We start from the raw sequence: 22164 nt of genomic DNA, 5'->3' as shown, positions 1-22164 counted from the left end.
TCCAAGGTGGGAAGACAGCCCTCGCGAGAACCTGACCTGACCATGCTAGCATCCTGATCTCAGAATTCCAGCCTCCAGGAGCAGTGACACAATAAATGTATGTTGTTTACGAGCCACCTACTATGTGGCACTGTGTTATAGCAGCCAGAGGTGACTAATAAAGATGGCTCTAGAGTTTCAGGCTGTGATGATAAAAAAAATTCTGGTGATGGATAGTGGTGCTGGTTGCACAACAATGTGAATGCATGCTAATGTCACTGTACTGGTATGCCACTGATTAAAATGGCAAATTTAAAGTTAGGTCTATATATAATACAAAAGTATCATACAGTGCCTATTTGGTAGTGATTGGGACAGTTGCTTTTGCTTTGTGTAAATCTGTGCAAGAGAAGAAACCAAGTTGTAGAGTCTGATGGGGACTAGCAGATCACATAAGGCAGGACCTAATTCCTTTTCTGTGAGGTGAAAGAAGTGGAGATGTAGTCAATACGGCCTCTGTGTAAACACAATTTTCTCAGTATATTTAGAGCTGACTCTATCTCACACCGATGAGGTGTTTCACCCTCATTTTATGCACAAGGAGAAAAGCTACAAAGACATATAGCATTATCTGTTTTTCCACGATGGTGCATAATTGTCTTAGGAGAGATAACAACTGGAAATTCCCAAAAGGACAGGGATTACTTCAAATTGCGGGGAGGACATTAGAAAGTGGTAAGCATTCTTGTTTTTATTTTACCCCTCTATTCCTGCTTCATCTGAGATTGTCCCTTTCAATGCATGCTGTCTTCTTGAGAAACTAACCAAGATTGGTTTTTCAAAGTGTAGTTCAAGTAGTTAACAGCCAAGCTTTCCAGTGGTAGGTGTCAACCAGTGTTTAAGAACCAAGCAGGGTAACTCAAAGGGCTCCTAAAGCCAGGTGAATATTTGAATGAGCTGGAAGATATAAAACCAATCTGCTTTTAAATTCCATAAGCAATTTTATAGTTCACTTGGGGAGACAGGACCAGGAAGAGGAAATAGTATTTGAAAAGTAGGAGGCTCTTGCATTGCTCTACTCAGTTTCACTAAGGTATACGCTAGATATGAGCTTGAACTCTACTCAGAATGTCACAATGAAGCCTGATTATATTGAAAACAATTTATTTTTCCATATTCAGTTTTCTTATTTTATGTAACTTGCAACTTCTATCCAGAATATTTTCTGGTAAATTGGACCTTTAGGGAAGGAAAGAACAATTTTCTTAAAGAGAGAATATTTGGTCACTTTTACTTTGGCATGGAAGGGAATTCAATGTATTTCTCTTTTAGATATGGGGTACTTTAAGTTTCCATTATCAATAATTTTGGCACACGTGAATCTTTGGGTAATTCTGCATTCATTTGGCTTTGATATGGCCAGGGGCCATTAAAAAACCCCAACACTCCAGTTACTGTTAACCATTAATTTGGATGTGCAAATATTTGTACTACCAACACCCACTATTAGTACCAAAATCACTGCCAAAACTAACAGGTGACTTACGTTGATTACTCGTCATGTACCAGACATTGAGGTAAGAGCTTTGCAGGAATTATTTACAGTTAATCCTCAACAAACTCTATAATACAGGGACTACTATCCTCATTTTACTGCTGAGGAGAGACATTAAAGTGACTTGCCTGATTCTAACGTATTCATCCAGTAAATGTTGGAGCTGAAATTTAAACAGAGATGCCTGGGAATTCAATAGAACTGAGGATGTGTGCTAATCTGTGAGGAGCTGAGAACAGTGATCATTTTCTGTTTATCGTTGTGTTTGCCACAACATTGCATATTGTGCCTTATTTGTGGCAGAATGAGCTCAATATATGTTTGTAGAATTAAAGAATGAGGAAAGCCAATGAATATTTAGCATTGTGCTAAATATCTCAAATGTTAACTTAGAAGTTATTTCAATATGGAATTTTATTTGCTCATTTTACGCACTGAAATTGGGTAACCTACTAACATAAGGGGATGAATTGTGGATTTTCTTTTTCTTGGGGTGCACAGGCTGAGACTACTGAAGAACAACGCATTTCAACTCTGTTGCAGTCTGCCATATTGTGGCTGTGGAGACGGGGTCTCTTTAGAAGTCATTGTGCACAATTAGGAGGGTTTCAAGAGCTCTAGGATTTACTTAGTATCCTGTGAGTGAGATGTCTATTGCTCAAAATGATGGAAGCAGCTCATCCTCATTAGAGCTCAACTAGTGTCTAACGTGCTCACTTTTCTTCCTTTGTGATTAGTAACCATGTTCTTGGGACTCGGCAACCGTGGGACTATACAGTCAACCCAAGAAGCCTCAGCATTCACATCATAGTCAAAGTCATTCAAGCAAAGCTATATCCAGTAAGAAATTTCTCCTGTAGAGAGAAATTTTTATTTTACCTATTCTCAGACTGACCCTTTGCTCATTATAATAGTAAAACCACACTCACACATATAATCTAGCACTTTGGGAAGCCAAGGCGGACGGAACACCTGAGGTCAGGAGTTTTGAGACCAGCTTGGCCAACATGGTGAAATCCCATCTCTACTAAAAATACCAAAAATTAGCTGGGTGTGGTGGCGGGTGCCTGTAATCCCAGCTACTCAGGAGGCTGAGACAGGAGAATCACTTGGACCCAGGAGGCAGAGGCTGCAGTGAGCTGTGATCACGCCATTGCACTCCAGCCTGGCAACAGAGCGAGAATGTGCCACAAAACAAAACAGAAACCAAACACACAGGTGGAGATTTAAGATGCTAATGAGACATGCGACATATGAACAAGCATGTACAGCTACTGCACATGTGCACCCAGAGGACCACCCAGAACATGCTTCCTAGTAACACCTCTTCCCACCCACTTATGAATCATCATGTAAGACTCCCATAGAGTCTCCCTAGTGCCAGTCTTTGCTGTCTCATCCTTACCAGCAGCCTGCCATGAATCCTCTCTCTCTCAGAGTATGCAGTGTATTCTGCACCAAACTTTCCAAATATTCTTTTTCCTTTACAATAAATTGCTCTATGCTGCATCTTCTTTGCTGTGTGTCTCCATTTACATTCATTTAAACTGAGAAGACAAAAACTGAGGTCTCACAACAGCCAACAACCACCTGATGGAGACAGCAAAACTCCACAATGATCCACTCAGTATCCTGGCATAGACAAGAGAAAGAATGTGAGGAGTTGTTCAGTTATGGAAAGACAGAAAAAGGTGACTGAGAAGTAAATTTTGGCAGTGCCTCTCAAATGCTACTCAGGATAACCACTGACTCAAATATTCCTAGCTTCAATGGAAGGGCTGTCCATAGGATGGAGCTGAAGGTATGATGCTTCCATCAATAGACCCAGAGTGTTGTTCTTTCTGGCAAACAAACCCACTGGCCTCCCTGATAATGTGAAACAGCCTCTTCGTCTGTGTTCTGATTCCATGTTCATCAAACAACTTTTTGACTCCTGTGTAATCTGCTTACATGGAGAGAATGTGCTGATGATATGGATTTCATGTTTTTCTATTCTGTTTGACAGTAATTTCTCATGCAAAATCAATAAAGAGGTTTCCAATGAACATTTGATGTCTACATAGCTTTCTGAGACCAAATGCACTGATTTTACTCACACCTGGATTTCTGAGCATTGTGACACTTGTATTAGTTTTCATTGTCTATAAATAGTGGATATTTTGGTGTTGATCTCAGCCTCCTGTGCATTTTAGTTGGTGACAATCAGTCCTGGGGACCTTATCATCGTGAAGGCTGTAAAAGAATGTTTCTAGGTTTTCAAAGAGGAGAGTCAGTTTCATGCATCCAGCCTTTTCTTTAGGCTGCTGTCTCTCAAACTTTCTGTGTGGACCAGGCTGAAATCAGAAAAGGTGGACAGGTGTCTGGGGAGTCAGCAATCTTAGATTGAAGTACAACATTTTCCTGAAGTATTCTTTCTATTTTAAAAATGTTATAAAGTGTGCATTCTATTCTGTAACTGATCTATTTTGTGTCAATGTTACTTTCATATGATGTTTTTTGCCTACTAAATTTTAAGTACAGTTGATGTTCTGGAAAGAAATGCTGTGGTTTCCTGTGGCCCACGTACTGTACTTCTGGGCATGCAGCTGAGTACCCCTGCAGGGATATACTTATGTGAATTTCAGAAGCCCTGCCTTAGACACATGCTTAAATCTTGCAGTTATGTGACTTCTATGTCTTAGAGTTTTAAATAATTTTATAATTTAAAAATCTATTTTATGAGCTTTAGCTACTTAACTTCTTCTAAATAGAATTTTTTATACCAGAAAATGACTGATTATTTTGATCTTTTAATGACTAACTTAGATTGCTACATAGTAATTTTGGTTGTGGTGAATAGGATCTCCTCAACCTGGTTCAGTAGCAATTCTTTTTAATTTTCTCTCTCCTTTTTAAATACCAGTGATGGCAGAGGTGTCCACTTGGAGCAGTGGCTGTCAAGGAGCTAGCTACAGCGGGGGAGGTGTGGCAGGTGGTGGGCACTCCAGGGAGCTGGTGGGAGCCAGGAACAGGTTGGAGCTCCGCCCCCTTCCGAGTTAAGCGGGCGGAGCTCCGACCTCCCTGGCGCAGCTGCAGCAACCCAGTTGTAGCTGTGGACCTGTGCATCCCTGCACTCTTAGGGGCCTGGGAAGCCACCTCCGCCCCAACCCTGCAGGCTCCGAAGTGCCTACTCCTGCTGTCTGGCTTCTCCCCGATCCTGTTGCCCACTCAGATTTCGAAGCAAAGTTGAGGCTGAGCCTGGGTGGCTGTGACCTGGCTGGGTGTGTGTGTGCTCCGGATGGCACTGACATGCCAGGCTCCTCCTCCCTTAGCCCCCTCGCCGATGAGCATGGAAGGGGGGCTGAGGCAAGGGGCTGAGGATGGCTCAGCTTGTACCTGCAGGCATCCCTCAGAACAAACAGCCTGGGCACTGTGGATGACGGCAGGGGACAGGCTCCTGGGTAGAAAGGGACAGGTCCCTGGTGAAGCCCCACCTTCAAACCAGGGACTCCCTGAAGCCTGGTGGCCAGGCTGTCAGTTCAGCGGACCAGAATGAGAACTTATGGTGCCATTTAGTGCCATTTCTGGGCCCACCCATGGCCTCCCATGGACCAATCAGCATGCACTTCTTCTGACGTCCATAAAAACCCCTGGACTCAGCCAGACTCAGACAGATGTGGGGACTACCAGCTGTGGGAAGGAGCTACCCAATTCTGGTCTCCTCAACTTGATGGGACGACCTGCCTGCAGATAGAAGCTGCCCACTCTGGGTCTCCTCTCCACTAAATGCTGCAAACTCAGTGGGATGACCTGCCTGCAGATAGGAGCTACTCACTTTGGGTGTCCTGAGAGCTGTACAGTTGCTCAATAAAGCAGCTCTTCACCTTGCTCACCCTGCAGTTGTCCACACACCTCATTCTTCCTGGATGCAGGACAAAAACTCAAGACCTGCCAAAAGATGGGACTAAAAGAGCTGTAACACAAATGGTTGAAACACACACCCATCCCCTGCTTGCCACGTGGGGGCAACCAGAAGGAGAGAAGAGAGGGAAGAGCTGCAGTCCTTTGGGGATCCCAGACATAGGAGCTCCCCAAGCCAGGGCTGTGACACCCTCTTTGGAGCTCTGTGGTTCCTGGTGTCTCCAGGCTTCTGAGCATCACTGTGTTCCCTGGTGCCCACAGTAGAAGCTGGTCGTGGTATGCCTGGTGCAGCTGCAGCCTTGCAGGGAGCCAGTGTCCGTGCCGGTGCCTGGAGCTGCCTGCCCTGCTGCAGCCGGCATGCCTGGCTTTACACAGTGGCCAGACCCTGTACTCACTCACACACCCCTCACCAGTCTGCACTTGGCTCGCCCTTGACAGGCATGGGATTCAGGCTGGTAGGATGAACCGAGTGCAGACTGCCAGGCTGAGTGGGTGGAATGAGCCCAGGGGGCCCGAGTAAAAACTCTACCAAAGATACCACAGAGGCTTCTGGCTGGCAAAACAACACCCCAAGGATCCCATGACACCAGTGTGGCCTCTACTGCTATCTAGTTAAATGATGAATAATTGGGTCATATGTTTCATACACGTTTTCAGAATTAAACTAATTACAGTAAGCATTTTGAAAATATGAATTAGTCCATAAATTTTACTAATTGTATAATTTCAAAAGTTATTTTATTTATTGGTGAGAAAGAGGAAAGTACTCTAGGTAACTAATAATCAGTGCTCCAACACTGAGAAATGGGGGAGAGAGAGAGAGAAAGAGGAAGAGAGGTAGACAGAAAGGTGCCATCTGCTCGTCTATTATACAGCATCTTGTCTCATGTTTTTTCACAACAGTTCTAAGATAGAACAAATACATATCCTAAATATAAACTTTGAATGAAATTTTTTGTTACTGTGGCACTATGCCATTTCAACATGACAGGATATGGTGATGTATTTCAATATAATTATTTTAGCTGTAGGGCATAAGTACAATAAAAATACTGATACCTAGCTACCTACAATATCACCAAAAAGCATGTGTATACTTTGTCTTTCTTATAGTTATTATGTTCCCACATACCTTCAAAGGCATTTCATTTAAAAAATACATTTATTATGAACATTTTTATGAGCCAATCATTGAGCTTTGAACACCATCATTATTTTACGTACTTCCTCATCTATACATTTCCCAATCTCTCTCTGTTTTACTGGAGCGTTTCGAAGTCAATACCATGCAGCATGTCCTTTCACTCCTAATACTTTAGCAAGCTTTTCAAAGTGAAAAAGACGGAGTCAGAGGGAGAGAGAAAGCGTGAAAGTGGTAGGCAAAGAGAGGAAGAGAGAAAAAACCATTTTCTTACGTATCCACAAATTTACAATAACTACTTAATACTTACTATCATCCAGTATCTGCTCCATATTTACATTCCTCTGGTTATCTAAAATATCTCTTTTCACTTATTCCATGATTAACTGAACTAGTAGAATATATGATTATATGAAATCATAGCATATATAATATTTATGATTTAAACAGGTTTCATTTTATTGTACTTCAGCCTTGTATCTTGTAATCTAGAACAGTTCCTCCTATCTCCTCTTTTCTCTCTGCCACGGACTTATTGACTAAATTAGATTCCTACATTCTAGATTTGGCTTGAGGTGCTATTCAAGTTTCCCTCAACTTCTGAATTTCTTATAGACTGAAGTTAAAGACTTGATTAAATTCAGTTAGCTGTTCTTTTGGTTTTATAAAAAGAATATTTCAGGCATGGTTCTTGATTTCCTGGCTTGTCTAAAATGCTTTCACGTTGCATCATATCATACCAGAATGTGTATGATTCAGTGATGCTAAAATTGATCAGTGGGTTTAGGTGATGGTAGCTTGATAATTTTATTGTGAAGTTTATCATCAATACTTCATCTAAGGTTTTATTATCTAATGAGGACCATTTCTTTAATCAGTTATTGCATCAGGAATTGCAAAATGTTGATTTAGAAAATTCTTTCCTTTTGAATTTATTATCTGAGCATCTGTATAAAATCCCTCAACTACAGAGCTCTTTGGACATCCTGAAATGCACATTATACCAGAAAAGCCAGACAAATGCTTGTTTCCCTTTAAATCTCAATTTCTAGAGTCATGATTTGGTGCCCAAGCAACTGCCATTGGTGCCCAGTGACTTTTATTTTATTTTTCTTTCTCTCCTAACTCCCTTTTAAAAAATATCATTTTAAATTTACAACATTTTGTATATTCAATTTGTTTTAATTAATGGGGTCACTTTTTTATTGTTCATGTTGTCTCATCTATGGCAAGTGGGATCCCCTTCTAGCTGACTCCCATGTCCTTTTGACATGACCTCCACCAGCCTTTGAAAGCTTTCTTCCCTTTCTACTTTCTAGAGTAACAAACTATCTCAGCCCACCGTCTACCTTTCCTGCCCCACAACTAGAATCAGCTATTTCTTCATGAATCTTTAGTTCTATTTGTGAACAATTCTATTTAGAGACCACAATTGAGAGCTAGGTGTGCTCACTGATTGGATTGAAGTTATTTCTAGACTTTTTCAGTGGACAAAGCTAGAATGTGGCTATTTTCCGAAAGTAGCTGATGTTGAAATTTCTAATTCAAGTTTAAGATTGTAGGGTATTTGTTTCTTTAATTTTAGGCTTAGATATCTTTTGATATGTGTTCAAAAATCTTATTTGTTTATAACATTAACATACTTTTAAATTTGTGCATTTGAAAGGAAAGTAAATTCCAAAAATGCTTTAGAGTTAGATAGGTATATTAGATCTACATTATTGATGACATGGTTTAGGTTCTATACATCCTTATTCATTTTGGTCCACTTATTCATTCTTGGATCAAGAGAGGTGTGTTAAGGTTCTATTATTAGCATGTTTCTTTCTGTTTCTCCTTAGATTTTTAGCAGTTTCTGCCTTATGTAAGTTGTTTTCAATGAATTGCAGTCTTTGATATTATAATGTCTTTCTCAGTCTCTTTTAACTTTTTGACTTTTTTTCTCTCTGTATTCTACCTTGCTTCCTATCAAGATCTCAAACCCTTCTTTCTTATTACTTAAATTTGCCTGGCATATTTATGCATATTCTTTAATTTTTAATGTTTCTTTATCATTTTGACTTAGGTATGTCTCATATACAGCAGAGAGAGTTGCCTTTTTAGTCAATCTGAATCTTTTTCTTTCTGTGGATTTATATGTTTGATCTCAGCTCTGACATACTGATTTATTACATAATTTACTGTTATCTAGAAGGTCTTTTCCCATATGGCCTGTTTTCTCTTTCCAATCTTTAGTATTTAATATGGTTTGTGTTTTTGTTCCACTTCTTGCCTTTACACTAATATTATTTATAATAGCTGAAGCTTCTCTTTTTAAATTAATGCCTAACTCTACCTTTCTCTAAGCAATACTAAAGTTGGCTATAACTATTACTGCTTTTCTTCCATCCTCCCCAGTGTCTAAACATAGATGATACTGTTTTACTCCTGGTTAATGCCTATGCGACAATCAGCAAACGTATTCTGCTTTCCACTCACTTTCCCCACTTGTTACTTGTATTATTTCTACATTGTCAGATTATATATAATTTGTATATTCCTCCATCCTGTAGCCAATTTCTACCAGAGCCTGCAACAAGCTTCTTCAAGCAGCTCTTGGTTTTCTAATGCTCCTTCTCCAGCAGATTGCTCAGAAAGGCTTTTGGTAAAAATAATCCCAGAGTTCTTGAATATTTATAACTGCTTTTTGATGGCCTTGTGTCTTAGTCTGTTTTGTGCGGCTATAACAGAATATCACAGACTATAATTTTTAATAAACAAATTTATTTGGCTCATGGTTCTGGAGACTGGGAAGTCCAAGATTGAGGGGCTGCATCCAATGAGGCCCTTCTTGCTGCATCATCCTATGGGGGTGACAGAAAGAGGGAAGGGAGCCAAACTCATTCTTTTATTAGAAGCTTGCTCCCACAATAACCCACTCCTGTGATTGTTGCAGGAAGTCAGGGACCCTGAACAGAGGGACTGGCTGGAACCCCAGCAGAGGAACATAAATTGTGAAGATTTCACGGACATTTATCAGCTCCCCACATTAATACTTTCATAATTTCTTACCCCGTCTTTACTGCAATCTCTGAACATAAATTGTGAAGATTTCATGGACATTTATCAGTTCCCCAAATTAATACTTTTATATTTGCTTACACCTGTCCTTACTGCAATCTCTGAACATTAATTGTGACGACTTCATGGAGATTTATTAGTTCCCAAATAATACTCTTATAATTTCTTATGCCTGTCTTTACTTTAATCTCTTAATCCTGTTATCTTTGTAAGCTGAGAATGTACGTCACCTCAGGACCACTATTGTACAAATTGATTGTAAAGTATGTGTGTTTGAACAATATGAAATCAGTGCACCTTGAAAAAGAACAGAATAACAGCAATTTTCAGGGAACAAGGGAAGACAACCAAAGGTCTGACTGCCTGCAGGGTTGGGCAGAATATAGTCATATTTTTCTTCTTGCAGAGAGCCTATACACGGACATGTAAGTAGGAGAGATATCGCTGAATTCTTCTCCTAGCAAGGAATATTAAATATTAAGACCCTAGGAAAAGAATTGCATTCCTGGGGGGAGGTCTATAAATGGCCACTCTGGGATTGTCTGTCTTATGTGGTGAGATAAGGACTGAAATACACCCCGGTCTCCTGTAGTACCCTCAGGCTTATTAGGGTGGGGAAAAAATCCTGCCCTGGTGAATTTGAGGTCAGACTGGTTCTCTGCTCTCGAACCCTGTTTTCTGTTGTTTAAGATGTTTATCAAGACAATACATGCACAGCTGAACATAGACCCTCATCAGTAATTCTAGTTTTGCCCTTGCCTTGTGATCTTGCTTTGCCCTTTGCCTTGTGATCTTTATCGGCCTTAGAAGCATGTGAACTTTGTTCTCCTTTTTTGCCCTTTGAAGCATGTGATCTTTGTGACCTACTCCCTGTTCGTACACACCCTCCCCTTTTGAAATCCCTAATAAAAACTTGTTGGTTTTGTGGCTTGGGGGACATCACAGACCTACCAATACGTGATGTCACCCCTGGCTGCCCAGCTGTAAAATTCCTCTCTTTGTGGTTTTTCTCTTTATTTCTCAGACCAGCTGACACTTAGGGAAAATAGAAATAAACTACATTGAAATATTGGGGGCTGGTTCCCCCGATATGTGATAATAGCATCAATGCATTCATGACGGCTTTGCCCTCATGACCTAATCACCTCTCAAACATCCTACTGTTCAACATTGTTGCATTGACGATTACGTTTCCAACACATGAACTTTGGGGGACAAATTCAAATCATAGCACCCACCTTCATACTTGAGGGATAGTTTGGTTGGATATAAAATCTTTGGCTTGTATTTTCTTATCTTGAGCATCTTTACAACTACTGCTTCATTGTCTTCTGGTACAAAATGTGTATACTTCAAAGTCTGATTCATTCTTTGCTTGGATGCTATTTTTTTTCTTGTTTTAACAATACAACCATTTTATTAGAAAGTGTTTCAGTGTTGATGGTTCTTAGTTGGATTTCCCAGATGGTCCTTTTAATACATAGATTCAAATCTTTTATTTTGAAAAGGTTTCTTTGAATTATAGTTTTATGTATTAGTTGTTTTTTCTTCTCAGAGGGCTTCCTTCTTTTGGGAATTTTATGTTGAATCTCCTTCACTTATTGTTCCAAATCATTGACAAATTCTTTTTGTTCTCTTTTCTTTGTGTCTGGTTTATTAGTTTCATTCTCCCTTCTAACCTCAGTTTCTCTTACTGTGCCTTCCATGGTCTCTTATTGTCCTTTTATTTCTTCTAATATACCCTTCATTTCTGAAATACTGTTTCTTTCTTTTCTAGTTCATCCCTGAGTTTTCTCAGTTCTCTTTCCATAAAATGATGTTTCATATCATTCTAGTCATCTTATTTCTGAGCAGTTCTAATTCTGATTTGTATGGTTCTTTCAAGCTTTGATTAGTTTTAAGATTGTTTTAGCTCATTTTGAAATCTAATGTTGTAGTTTTCATCTTCTTTATAGCCACTTTTGTAGTATATTTTTATGTGTTGGAACTATATTTGATTAATTCTTATCTTTATCCTTGTCTCAGCATGGGGTTTTATTGTAAACTGCTTTTATTTTCCATATATGAACAATCTCATATATAAATGAGATAATTTTCTTGGACTATTAGAGGAAGATTCTTGTGTAGGGCTCTCTTCTCTGTTGTTACTGTGAAGTATTAAAAAAATGGCCTTTTTATAGGGGCACTTCTCTGTCTCTTAGGGCTCTGCCTGGTTCACAAAAACTTCCTGCTCTAACTCTGTGTTGTCTAGAGTTCTAAAGGTCTTTCCTTTCAAAGCAGTATTGTTACCTTTGAATGTGTTTGTCATTCTGTACTTTCTGAGATCTATCTCTGATACCTCCTTCTCTGGTTTGGAAGCTTTTGTCTTGCTGGCTTCCTCAGTGTTATATTTTAGATTGAATTCACAGCAGATTTCTTATTCTTTTTTTGTAGAGGGAGGAGGGGAGAGGATGAGTCTCTGTCTTTCCAGAAGGTAGTACTTTGGAGTGTTTCTCAGATATATGCAGGGTAACTCTGCGTTAGCATGGTTTACATTACTGGTTCCCTATGGTCTCTTTGCATTGGCCTCAGCTTGGAGCCTGTGAGAGGGTCTTTTAATTCCACTGGTAAGGTGCAGATTTGATTGCTTTCATTCCTGTTCTGGAAAGGCTCTTCTCCTATTGGGCGTGAATGCTTGTTGTTGATTTCTGAGTACTCTTCTTGGAGAAGTAGCAGTACTCCCCTTTTTCTTTTCTACCAATTCTTCATCTCTCCTGGCCCCACACTGGATCTGCTGCTGTCTGATGTTTTGGTGACACTAACCTATGTTCTGTAGTACTTGAGGGATTTCTTGTCATCAGTTTTATGTAAGATCATGTCCATGTTGTTTGTTTCTTTCTTTTGCTATCCTCAATGTTCTGTCTGGTCTTGATGATTAAACAAAAGCATGGCGTTGCCATGCTTTTAGCATCAGAAATGCTAATATATTCTAAGTAAAGAATATTGTAGAAAATGTAGCTTTTCTATTTCTGGCATCATTCCATCATTTTCAACAGGGAAGTACTTGAGTATTGAAATTCAAAACAAAACTACAGTAGTCCCCCGTTATTCTTGGAGGATATATTCCAAACCCCCAGGGATGCTTAAAACCACAGATAGTATCAAACCCTACAGATACAATGTTTTCTCTTATGCATACGTACCTATGTTAAAGTTTACTTTATAAATTAGGCACAGTAAGAGATTAATACCAACTATAATAATATACAACAATTATAGCACTACATTATAATGAAGTTATGTCAATGTGGTCTCTCTCTCTCTCTGTTCCAAAATAATATAATATCATGAAGTCCCCTAATATTATAGTTGGGACTTCATAATATAGTTGGGCAAAAGTGCAGAAAGTGAGACCATGGATAATGGAAGACTTCTGTATTTGCTACAAATTTGTATGCAATTCTGACAAAAAAAAAAGCATAGGCAAAGAGTTTGAATGTGTATGATTAGTTCTGGAAGACTTGAGTCTAAAACAAGCTTGAAAAAGCTGATTTGTCCTTCCTGTGCTAGAGATTGGTATAGAAAATTAAGCTCCTCCTGAGATTATCTTGTTATTTTAGTTTCTCTTTGGAATGGGCCTAAACAATAGGCCATCCTTTCCAGAAATTGATCAGGCATCATTTCGACTGGGCAATAAAATCTCAACACAAAGAGCCATGCAAGCTCTATAAAAAGGAAAAGGTCTAAGGGAAAATGTAAGTGAAGGCTGAGCAAAATACAACTAGGTTATCAATTACACAAACAGAGAACTTTGGAAATATAAGGTAAACGTTAATTCCTGCATCTCCTAAAGTCAATAGGAGGAAATGCAATCAAGTGGATCAAAGACACGGAGATAATTGTGAGAAAATGAAACACGGAGAAAGAATTTAGCCACGGAGGCCGATGGGGAGCACACCTCCCAAACCACGACAGAGGTAGCTATGTTTTGGGTTGCTTACAAAATCTAAGACTGACCGATGACCTTGAGGTTGCTAAAAAGGTCTCTCCTGTGAATGTAAGAGACAACTTACCTTTTAGCGGCACAGTCACCACACTTCTCAGAGCTTGGGGCAGTGCCCACGGTGGCCTGCTGCTAACACAGCGGCTCACTACATTTCAAGGACACTTAGAGGAATATTGGCTCTCATCTTTAACTGTTGCCTGCCTGCAGATGATTAAAATCAAATTTCAAGCCCAATAATGCATACTGGCATTAGTCTTAGAATTGACTCCCTGGGCTGGGCGCGGTGGCTCACGCCTGTAATCCCAGCACTTTGGGAGGCCGAGGCGGGTGGATCACCTGAGGGCAGTTCAAGATCAGTCTGGCCAACATGGAGAAACTCCGTCTCTACTAAAAATACCAAAATTAGCTGGGCGTGGTGGCGCATGCCTGTAATCCCAGCTACTTGGGAAGCTGAGGCAGGAGAGTCGCTTGAACTCGGGAGGCAGAGGTTGCAGTAAGCCGAGATCATGCGACTGCACTCCAGCCTGCGTGACAGAGCAAAACTCCATCTCAAAAAAAAAAAAAGATCGACTCCCTGTTTTAAAAAATTTCATCCCAGGACCCCAGGAACCTCCGTTGCTCCTTTTTAATTGGCTGCGCTATTCTTGTCCACCAGCTTGTGGATGGTTACTGGATGTTTAAGGCAAGTTGAGGGCAGTTGCCACTGTAGAGGCCACTCTTAGTTATCACAGAAGCCAGCAGGTCACTATGTCACCCCATTGGTAGGGTGGAGGTATTCCTATGTCCGAGACCGGAAAAATTATATTGAATTTTTGTACATATGCTAACTTTCTAAGGCTGTGGATTAGAAATTTTGCTATGATAGTTCAGTGAATTCTATTCAATTCTCTTAATTTTTCAGTCTAACATTCTCCCAACTGATTTATTTTGGCAAAGATTAATTTTATTCATTCTATTTAAATTCTATTAATTTAGTGTCATTCTTGGAATTAGAAAGGCACTAATTTTCACTGAAAATTAAATACTAAGATGAATTGATGAGTAGGCTAACATACACTTAAAATGTCATGGACTCCTGTCACACAAATCCAAAAAAGTATATATTTATGTGTGTTAACATATATCAAATACAAATACATATGTTTATAAAATAAACAGAAAGATAAGACAGAATGTTTTGTTTGCCAAATTTATATATGCCATACAGGAGAAGAAAAAAAATATTGGTTAACTCGGAAGCACCTCTAATTCTGTTATGACTTGAATTAAATTGCCACTGTTGGGGCACTAAGATGTCCAATTTGCTCGTCTGGGAATGTGGAATTAAAATTGTTTTTTTTTTTTTAATTTTTACTTTTAATTTTTATTTTATTTATTTTTTTGAGACAGAGTCTCACTCTGTCACCCAGGCTGGATGCAGTGGCGCAATCTCAGCTCACTGCAAGCTCTGCCTCCTGGGTTCACGCCATTCTCCCACCTCAGCCTCCCGAGTAGCTGGGACTACAGGCGCCTGCCACCACGCCCAGCTAATTTTTTGTATTTTTAGTAGAGACGGGGTTTCACCATTCACAGGGTGGTCTCAATCTCCTGACCTTGTGATCCTCCTGCCTCAGCCTCCCAAAGTGCTGGGATTACAGGCATGAGCCACTGCGCCTGGACAAATTGTGTTTATTATAGGACACTTTAGGTTTGTCTTCATAGCCCTGTCTCAATGTTGAAAACTCAGAAAGCACAGAAATATTTGAGAGGGTAATGCAGTTCTTTATGTGTTCTTACATTTTTCCCAACCTCGTTTTTGAGCCCCAGAGAGATGACTTAGCATAGTGTACCAGCACTGCCTCTGCCTGAGAAAATAAATGACAGATCAAGTCAAGTCTAATACAGTCTGAATGATAAATCATCTCTGAATGAGTGCTTAATTTAAAGATCTGGGTTGATGAGATATAGCACTTAAAGGGCAGAGGCAGTTTGCCGCGTAGTTGCCAGGGAAATAGCAGGACAATCTCACTTTGCAGCTTTCCTGGTTGTGAGACTAGATTGCAGGGGAATTCAGGAAAGTTGGCTTTGGCTCTCCCAAAAGAATGTGAGGGAGCCTCGCTCGTTGTGCAGAAAGCACCTGCTTTTTACTCCTGCATCACACATCAGCAGCACTCACACAGAATTTCTTTGAAAGAGACAACATCGCATCCTCAGATGGTCTTTGAGATAATGCATCTCCTAGTGTTGAACTTCCTTTCGTGTAAGCTGATAGGGAGAAACCTGAAAAGCCTTGTGCACTGCCAGAACATTAGAAGAAAGAAGCAAGCAGGTGAAAAGAAGTTAAGAACAGCAGCCTGCAGCAGAAGAGGAGAACTGGAATTATTTAGGGTGCCTGTCTTTGTGAATGTTCCACAATTCGGGGTGACATTAATCTTGAGGAAGGAATTCAAATAAACAGCCTAGGTAGTTCGGTATTGACATGAATTTTTAAAATAAAGATTTTTTAAAAAGTTTGCACAATCGCAAGGTGACAAATGGATGTACCCAGATTGGCACATTGAGGACAGTAAGCAGACACTTCTTAAAAGAATTTATGGCACTGGTTGGAAAAGACACGTTTGTCTATTTTACATCTTTTATTCCTTCTTACACATGATATTTAGAATTCTGCAGAACTCTTCTTTTTAGACTATAAAGGAGCACTCTAAATGACTTTAGCAAATTCATGAATTCTAAGGAGGAGAAGGCGAAAATAATAGGGAATTCAGTTTCTTTCATTTAGCATCTTGACACAAAAAGAGGCACTCCATATGTGAGTGGTTTAAGAATAGTTTTCCACTTTAAACCTGTTCTTACCCTATCCAACATAGCATGGGGGAAAGCACATTGCTTCTATTTGAACAGCACTGAGGGCTGTTCAATTTATTCCATGGTTCAGAATCCTATTTATTCTCTCTGGGACTCATCACCTCCCCACTCTACCCACTCTCCTTGCCTACCAGAGGATGGAATGACTTCTGGAGAGTACTGCTATATCAGATATGACTGTAATCTCTTCTGCCTTTTAAGTAGGAAGCTGGTAGGCAGAGTTTGGAAATTGCTGAACAGAGGCTTTTAACTTTTGGAGTTTCTCCTTCTTCCCCATAGGATGTCAGAACGGAATATTTTGTAACTTGTTTAACTATCAAATGGACCACAGACCCGACTGTTCATGAGAATCAGTTACCTGAGAGTCATTACTCAAACTGCCTTTCTGGCCGAGCTTTCCAAAGAAGTGGACTTTGTGTGGCCATGGAGGGAGTGACTGTCTAGTGTGCCCTGGGGTGGCTTCACACACACAGGTGTGTGGGCAAAGCTGTGAATGGCAGGTGGGACAACAGGGAGCCAGGATCCCCCATTCATTCATCTTTCATTCATTCAACAAATATTTATGAAGCACCTACTATATGCTAGACACTATGTCTTTCTGCGAAAGAGCAGTAGCAACACAACAAACCAACAAAATCCTTGTGTCACCGAGTTTACTTTCTAGTGGGAGAGATAGATGAGAAACATGATAAAAAAATAAATTACATGGCTTGTTATATAGTGATGGATGCTAGGGAGAAAAATAAAGGAGGAAAGGGAGTAGGGAGTGTTTAAGTATGCATGTGGATGTGTGTGGGTGTTGTTGCAATTTTAGATAGGATGACTAGGGAAGACCTTACTGAGAAGATGAATTTTTGAGTGAGGACCAGAAGGAAGTAAGGGCGGGAGCCATATGATTTCTGAGACTGGAGGATTCTAAGCTGCAGGAATAGTAAATGCAAAGGTGCTGAGGTCAGACTGACCTGGCCTGTGTGAAGACTGGTGACGAGGACAGTGGGCCCTGAGAGGAGGAAGCCAGGGGGTGAGGAGTCAGAGAGGAGGTTGGAGGGGACACAACAGGGGTCAGATTGTTTAGAATCTTATAGGTAAGGACTTTCATTTTTACCTAGAAATAGATGGCAGCCAGTGAAAGCTTGAATGGAGGAGTGGTGGCCTCGTCTCCAGTTTGTTTTAAGTGGACTGTGTTGAGAATAAACCGAAGCGCGGCAGGCAGAAGCAGGGAGATGAGCCAGGAGACAAGTGCAGTAATCCAGCTGAATTTGTCAGGGAAATGAGTGGCGGTTTATAGGCTGTTTATGGTCTGTAACATATCCTTTACAAGCTGAGTTCCAAGTACCAGAGCCAAAAATTGCCTAAGCACGTCATTGTTTACCCAGAATCAGGCTGGCGCAGACAAGCAGGTGGAAAACTGTTCCAAGTACAAGTGCATAAAATGGTGAGTTGCCCTGCTTCTTGGCCCAGATCTCCCATAAAGGAATCTTGTGTTTACATTGCTGGAGGTTTGTGGTTCCTTCCCATAAATGCTTAAAAAGAACCACCGAGTCTGCATTCTCCTTTTCACTTTCTTACTAAAATAATAATTGACTTATTACATTTATTTAGGAACTCCGCCCATTCTGACAATTAATTTAAAGTTTATAGGAAACTAAAAAGCTCTTTCAGATACTGGATTGGATCCTGGAACAGAAAAAGGACGTTAGCAAAAAAAACTAGTGAAATCTGAATAAAGTCTTGTTTAGTTAATAGTATTATACTAATGTTAATTACTTAGCTTGATTAAATATACCACAGTTAATGTGGTAAATGTCAGGCCTCTGAGCCAAAGCTAAGCCATCATATCCCCTGTGACCTGCACGTACACATCCAGATGGCCAGTTCCTGCCTTAACTGATGACATTCCACCACAAAAGAAGTGAAAATGGCCTGTTCCTGCCTTAACTGATGACATTACCTGGTGAAATTCATTTTCCTGGCTCATCCTGGCTCAAAAGCTCCCCCACTGAGCACCTTGTGACCCCCACCCTTGCCAGCCAGAGAACAACCCTCCCCTTTGACTGTAATTTTCCTTTACCTACCCAAATCCTATAAAATGGCACCACCCCATCTCCCTTTGCTGACTCTCTTTTCGGACTCAGCCCACCTGCACCCTGGTGAAATAAACAGCCTTGTTGCTCACACAAAGCTTGTTTGGTGGTCTCTTCACACAGACATGCGTGAAATTTGGTGCCATGACTCAGATCGGGGGACCTCCCTTGGGAGATCAATCCCCTGTCTTCCTGCTCTTTGTTCCATGAGAAAGATCCACCTACAACCTCTGGTCCTCAGACCAACCAGCCCAAGGAACATCTCACCAATTTAAAATCTGGTAAGCAGCCTCTCTTTATTCTCTTCTCCAGCCTCTCTCACTATCCCTCAACCTCTTTCTCCTTTCAATCTTGGCACCATCTTTCAATCTCTCCCTTCTCTTAATTTCAATTTCTTTCCTTTTCTGATAGAGACAAAGGAGACACGTTTTACCCGTGAACCCAAAACTCTGGTGCCGGTCACGGACTTGGGAAGACAGTCTTCCCTTAGTGTGTAATCACGTGGGGATGCCTGCCTGATTATTCACCCACATTTCAGAGGCGTCTGACCACGTGGGGACGCCTGCCTTGGTCCTTCACCCTTAGCAGCAAGTACCGCTTTTCTGGGGGGGCAAGAACCCCCAACCCCTTATCTCCATGTCTCTACACCTTCTCTGCTTTTCTGGGAGGCAAGAACCCCCCGACCCCTTCTCTCTCTCTACCCCTTCTCCACTTTCCTGGGGGGGCAAGCACCCCCCACCCCTTCTCTCTGTGTCTCTACCCCTTCTCCGCTTTTCTGGTGGGCAAGAACCCCCCAACCCCTTCTCCCCGTGTCTCTACCCCTTCTCCACTTTCCTGGAGGGCAAGCACCCCCCACCCCTTCTCTCTGTGTCTCTACCCCTTCTCCGCTTTTCTGGTGGGCAAGAACCCCCCAACCCCTTCTCCCCATGTCTCTACCCCTTCTCCACTTTCCTGGAGGGCAAGCACCCCACACCCCTTCTCTCTGTGTCTCTACCCCTTCTCCGCTTTTCTGGTGGGCAAGAACCCCCCAACCCCTTCTCCCCGTGTCTCTACCCCTTCTCCACTTTCCTGGAGGGCAAGCACCCCCACCCTTTCTCTCCAAGTCTCTACTCTCTCTTTTCTCTGGGCTTGCCTCCTTCACTATGGGCAGCCTTCCACCCTCCATTCCTCCTTCTTCCTTAGCCTGTGTTCTCAAGAACGTAAAACCTCTTCAACTCATACCTGACCTAAAACCTAAATGCCTTATTTTCTTCTACAATGCCACTTGACCCCAATACAAACTCGACAGTCATTCCAAATAGCCAGAAAATGGCACTTTTGATTTTTCCATCCTACAAGATCTAGATAATTCTTGTCGTAAAATGGGCAAATGGTCTGAGGTGCCTGGTGTCCAGGCATTCTTTTACACATTGTTCCCTCCCTAGTCTCTGTTCCCAATGCGACTTATCCCAAATCTTCCTTCTTTCCCTCCTGCCTGTCCCCTCAATCCCAACCCCAAGCGTCGCTGAGTCTTTCTAATCTTCCTTTTCTACAGACCCATCTGACCTCTCCCCTCCTCCCCAGGCTGCTCCTCGCCAGGCTGAGCCAGGTCCCAATTCTTCCTTAGCCTCTGCTCCCCAACCCTATAATCCTTTTATCACCTCCCCTCCTCACACCCGGTCTGGCTTACAGTTTCGTTCCGTGACTAGCCCTCCCCAACCTGCCCAGCAATTTCCTCTTAAACAGGTGGCTGGAGCTAAAGGCATAGTCAAGGTTAATGCTCCTTTTTCTTTATCTGACCCCTCCCAAAATCAGTTAGCGTTTAGGCTCTTTTTCGTCGAATATAAAAACCCAGCCCAGTTTTTGGCTTGTTTGGCAGCAACCCTGAGACGCTTTACAGCCCTAGACCCTGAAAGGTCAGAAGGCCGTCTTATTCTTAATATGCATTTTATTTTATTACCTAATCTGCTCCTGACATTAAATAAAACTCCAAAAATTAAATTCTGGCCCTCAAACCCCACAACAGGACTTAATTAACCTCACCTTTAAGGTGTACAATAATAGAGTAGAGGCAGCCAAGTAGCAATGTATTTCTGAGTTGCAATTCCTTCCCTCCACTGTGAGACAAACCCCAGCCACATCTCCAGCACACAAGAACTTCCAAACGCCTAAACCGCAGCAGGCAGGCATTCCTCCAGGCCCACCTCCTCCAGGAGCTTGCTACAAGTGCTGGATATCTGGCCACTGGGCCAAGGAATGCCCGCAGCCCAGGATTCCTCCTAAGCCATGTCCCATCTGTGCAGGACCCCACTGAAAATCGGACTGTTCAACTCACCTGGCAGCCACTCCCAGAGCCCCTGGAACTCTGGCCCAAGGCTCTCTGACTGACTCCTTCCCAGATCTTCTCAGCTTAGCGGCTGAAGACTGACGCTGCCTGATTGCCTCAGAAGCCCCCTAGACCATCAAGGATGCCGATCTTCAGGTAACTCTCACAGTGGAGGGTAAGTCTATCCCCTTCTTAATCAACATGGAGTCTACTCACTCCACATTAGCTTCTTTTCAAGGGCCTGTTTCCCTTGCCTCCATAACTGTTGTAGGTATTGACGGCCAGGCTTCTAAACCTCTTAAAACTCCCCAACTCTGGTGCCAACTTAGACAATGCTCTTTTAAGCACTCATTTTAGTTATCCCCACCTGCCCAGCTCCCTTATTAGGTCCAGACATTTTAATTAAGTTATCTGCTTCCCTGACTATTCCTGGGCTATAGCCACACCTCATTGCCACCTTTTCCCCCAGTTCAAAGCCTCCTTCACATCCTCTCCTTGTATCTCCCCACCTTAAACCACAAGTATAGGACACCTCTACTCCCTCCTCAGTGACCGATCATGCACCCCTTACCATCTCATTAAAACCTAATCACCCTTACCCCACTCAATGCCAATATCCCATCCCGCAGCGCACTTTAAAAGGATTAAAGCCTGTTATCACTCGCCTGCTACAGCATGGCCTTTTAAAGCCTATAAACTCTCCATACAATTCCCCGATTTTACCTGTCCAAAAACCAGACAAGCCTTACAGGTTAGTTCAGGATCTGTGCCTTATCAACCAAATTGTTTTGCCTATCCACCCCATGGTGCCAACCCCATATGCTCTCCTATCCTAAATACCTCCCTCCACAAACCCATTATTCTATTCTGGATCTCAAACATGCTTTCTTTACTATTGCTTTGTACCCTTCACCCCAGCCTCTCTTCGCTTTCACTTAGACTGACCCTGACATCCATCAGGCTCAGCAAATTACCTGGGCTGTACTGCCTCAAGGCTTCACAGACAGCCCCCATTACTTCAGTCAAGCCCAAATTTCTTCCTCATCTGTTACCTATCTCGACATAATTCTCATAAAAACACACGTGCGCTCCCTGCCGATCATGTCTGACTGATCTCTCAAACCCCAACACCTTCTACAAAACAACAACTCCTTTCCTTCTTAGGCATGGTTGGATACTTTCGACTTTAGATACCTGGTTTTGCCATCCTAACAAAACCATTATATAAACTCACAAAAGGAAACCTAGCTGACCCCACAGATCCTAAATCCTTTCCCCACTCCTCTTTCTGTTCCTTGAAGACAGCTT

The 22164-nt window shown here is 41.7% G+C and overlaps 1 protein-coding gene across 7 annotated transcripts in view, besides 1 other annotated feature; it reads right to left on the bottom strand.

Annotated features, from left to right (window-relative positions):
- GALNTL6 (polypeptide N-acetylgalactosaminyltransferase like 6) overlaps window positions 1-22164 on the bottom strand; it is a 1228156-nt gene that overhangs the window by 60976 nt on the left and 1145016 nt on the right. The window lies entirely within an intron of this gene.
- Window positions 4655-5155: an enhancer, noted in NCBI's record as "H3K4me1 hESC enhancer chr4:173896580-173897080 (GRCh37/hg19 assembly coordinates)". NCBI's record gives its function as "activates a minimal SCP1, AML or CMV promoter by ChIP-STARR-seq in naive H9 embryonic stem cells {active_cell/tissue: H9 hESC(naive)}" and the evidence as "EXISTENCE:reporter gene assay evidence [ECO:0000049][PMID:30033119]".

The sequence above is a fragment of the Homo sapiens genome, chromosome 4 (assembly GCF_000001405.40).
Source record: "Homo sapiens chromosome 4, GRCh38.p14 Primary Assembly".
Lineage (NCBI taxonomy): Eukaryota > Metazoa > Chordata > Mammalia > Primates > Hominidae > Homo > Homo sapiens.
The sequence above is the reverse complement of the archived record's forward strand: the minus strand, read 5'-3'. Positions and strand labels throughout refer to the sequence as shown.